General features: G+C 38.2%; 1 annotated feature.

Moving 5' to 3' along the window:
* Positions 3058-3622: an enhancer, noted in NCBI's record as "OCT4-NANOG-H3K4me1 hESC enhancer chr12:20417295-20417859 (GRCh37/hg19 assembly coordinates)". NCBI's record gives its function as "activates a minimal SCP1, AML or CMV promoter by ChIP-STARR-seq in naive and primed H9 embryonic stem cells {active_cell/tissue: H9 hESC(naive and primed)}" and the evidence as "EXISTENCE:reporter gene assay evidence [ECO:0000049][PMID:30033119]".

Here is a 3919-nt window from a genome sequence, read left to right as displayed (position 1 = left end):
ATTCTGGCTTCTTTTTCTCTTCAACATCAAAAACAAAATTAAAAAAAAAAAAATAGGATGGAAGAACAGATGATACCTTGTGCAGATTATCAAAAAGAGAGAATTAGATAGTTTTTAAAACTTGTACTCAACCATCACTTTCCAATTCTAAGAACAGTATAACCTGTTATACTCTTTATCCCAGGCTCATTGAGGTCTAGACAAGGGAAATCAGCCTGATCTCTTCAACTAGGTTCTGCTGAGCAAAACTTCATGGTCACCACAGCTCAAACAGAAGTTTCTCAGTTATGTGACAAGACAGTAAGTATGGTGATTTTTTTTCAAAATTGTCAATAATCATGATAAAGACATCTAAGTATCTCACCAAAATATGTCTTTCTCCCTGTTTGACCACTTCCTAAGAGCCTAAAAAAAAAAATATTCATCTTGGAATATTTTATGTAATCAATAGTCTACAAATAATCTTTTAAACAAACCTTGTTTGAATTGTATCATTTTAGTAAATTCGAGGTATATGCTTTCTGTATATATCTATATCTATATACATACACACAAACATATAGACATACACACACATGCATATATATACCCACATACACATAAATTTATACATATACATGGCCTGTCCTTAAATACAATTTCAGTTAAAAAGAGGTAAAGGTAAATTAATAAATGGGATATTGGACTGCTAATTCCCTTCCAAATTAATATTAGGTATATTTAAAATAAATGTGACTTATCTCGGCATTATAACTGGGCTTATTCTGACTCAGTTGTCAACTTTCCACTGTACTGTGAAGTTTTTCCTATTTAAAGCATTTCTTCTAGCATGATACATTCACTAGAGCTTTGTCTAATTCTCTCCTCTATATTCCCTCAACTCAGTTTCTCATACTTAATCTGATAATCCTAATAATTTAATGCAAATAGTCTTTAAGAAAGACTGCCCACTGGAAATGTAAAATAATAATTTGGATTTTTAAAATTTTTATTTAATATACACACATGGATACGACCATGTTGCTCATAAAACCGGCCTAAAGGACACCACTTTGTTTCTGGTTTAAAAATCTCTATAGGAACATTTTCAGGTTTTTGAAGACTTTACATGTACTATCTTATTTAATCCTTGAAATGCTCTCTTCCAGGTAAGGTTATTATCATTATTATTATTAATCTCTGCTCAGAAAGGTATGGGGACTGGTTATCCAGATAATAAGTGGCGGGACTTATTTGATGCTAGAGTTTTGGATTTCAAAAACTATGCTAGCTCTGATTTACCACACTACTTACCTTATTTTATGAATACACTTTATGATTAACTACAAATGGTTTTTTAAAAGTAGCCATAAGGATATAATAAAATTGATAGTTTTTTGTATACTTGTTGCTCAGCAACATACAGGTGGCACATCAATTTCACTTTTCTGTGATTTTAAAAAAACATGAAATTTATTTTATTTGTATCTAATTATATAACTGCAATTCAAGCTATTAGCATGATAATTTTATTTGTTTATTTGTTTAATTATTTATTTATTTTTGAGACAGCGTCTAGCTCTGTCACCCAGGCTGGAGTGCAGTGGCGCGATCTCAGCTCACTGCTACCTCCGCCTCCTGGGTTCAAGCAATTCTCCCTGCCTCAGCCTCTTGAGTAGCTAGGATTACAGGCACCCACCACCACACCTATCTAATTTTTGTATTTTTTTTAGTAGAGACGGGGTTTTGCCATGTTGGCCAGGCTAGTCTTAAACTTCTGACCTCAGGTGATCCGCCCGCTTTGGCCTCCCAAAGTGCTGGGATTACAGGCGTGAGCCACCACACCTGGCCAGGATAATTAAATATAATACTATTTTATCCACTTTTTTTTTTTTTTTTTTTTTTGAGACGGAGTTTCACTCTTGTTGCCAAGGCGGCAGTGCAATAGTACGATCTCAGCTTACTGCAACTTCTGCCTCCTGGGTTCAAGCGATTCTCCTGTCTCAGCCTCCCAGGTAGCTGGGATTATAGGCATGCGCCACCACACCCAGTTAAATTTTGTATTTTTAGTAGGGGCAAGGTTTCTCCATGTTGGTCAGGCTGATCTCGAACTCTCGACCTCAGGTGATCCACCCACCTCAGCCCCCCAAGTGCTAGGATTACAGGTCCACTTCTTTTTTAAACACACATGCATTTCTAACAATCTGTACAGTAATCTCTGTATTAAATGCTAGAGATACAAAGTTCATTAAGAAATAGTTCCTGCTTTTAAGGAGCTTGTAGTCTTTTGGAAGGAAGGCAAGTAAGTCAAAGATTTCCATAGTAAGATTAATGTTTATAGAAATACTCATTATATCATTAATGCATTGAAAGAAGCAATAAATTGTACTAGAATTGAGACATAGTCACTGAGAAGGTAAAGCATGGGGGTAAGCTTTCTAAGACGACTGTAAAAGGGAAGACGGAGGCAGTGTGATTAGAAGGAAATCTTGAACCAGAGTGACCATTTTCGGGACACATAGGCTCACTGAACCGAGTTCTATGATATTGGATCGAGGTTTACCTGAGTGAGCCCTGGAATCAGCCAACAGGGCCTATGAGGACAGTGAGGCGTTGAGTTGACAAGAAGAAAAACAGAGTGGTGAGAGAAAAGTTGGGAGAGTAGTGTTCATATGAACAGGTTTTTCCTTCCTTTTCCCCATGGAGAAGAAAGGAAGGATTGTCCCCACCTCTAACAGAAGAAATGTCCATTGTAAAGGGGCTCCAAGAGGGTCATTTGTAGACATTAGGGTTGCCTGACAAGAAAGAGAGATGAGTATCTTACCACCTGCTTAGACATATGTATAGATTGTGGACTTGATTTTCCCACCCATGCTTCCTCAAACACAAGAACAAGAGACTGGGAGAAATATGCCAGGGCATGGGAGAAGGGTAATGGATAGCATGGTAAAGCCTCTGAGCCAAACATTTGGCATGATAAGAATGTGTGAGCTGTTCATGGACAAATGAAAACTTGAGGCATCTGTCCTATGTCAGACAAACAGGACACAATGATGGGTGAGGGGACCCAAGTAGCAGGAGGCTGGTGGTATACTGACAGAAGTGGGTGGAAGAGGCCAAGGTGCAGCCAGCTGTCACTTCTTGGAACTGTCAAGTTAGAGGGCCCATGGGAGGGCCTGCTGAAGGACTCAAGCATTTGGATTTCAACAACAGAGAGGCCTTAATGGCCTGTCATTGTTACCCAGAAAAGCAGCAACTACCAACAACGAATTACAAAAGCCTTGCTCCTCCCTACCCCAGCACAGGAGGGAAGGGGCTACAGCCAGGAAACAGGAGGCAAAGGAAGTGTCCTAGAGGCAGGCTTGCACTTTTCACTCTAAGGTGAGGGAGTGAGAAGAGGAGTTAAAGAGCAAATCAAGCTCCCTAAACCACAAAAACAATGGGCCCTAGGGGAGGGAAGTAAAAGAGATTTAAAATAAGTGACCTTGGACTTCTAAAATGGAGATATTTTAAATAATCAAAAGTATCAAAGATGTAAATAAACTCATATTTTGTAATGGGATCTACTATTCAATGAGTTGGGAAGTCTGACGTACTATGATTGGAGAGGGTAACTGGAAAAAGTAAAAATTGGGTTACAGAATATCTCCACTAAACACTGGATAATTAGATGATTACAGACAGACTTAGAACAGCAGGAGATAAGCCTAGAGAGAGGTAGGTGGGAGTCACAACATTAAAGGCTATATTGTGCCAAGAAGCTAAGAACTTAGAACTTTGGACTCAAACTATGGGAACCATTGACAAATTCTAGACAGGGGAGTCATATGATCAGAGTGAAGAAGATACCCTTTGACAACAGAGTAAAGACTGTTAGCAAGAAAGCCAGACTCATCTAGATTAGGTAGGTTAAAAAATACAAATAAAACACTCTTTTGTT

This window comes from Homo sapiens, chromosome 12 (genome assembly GCF_000001405.40).
Source record: "Homo sapiens chromosome 12, GRCh38.p14 Primary Assembly".
NCBI lineage: Eukaryota > Metazoa > Chordata > Mammalia > Primates > Hominidae > Homo > Homo sapiens.
Note: the sequence above shows the minus strand (reverse complement) of the source record. Positions and strands in the feature narration are given on the sequence as shown.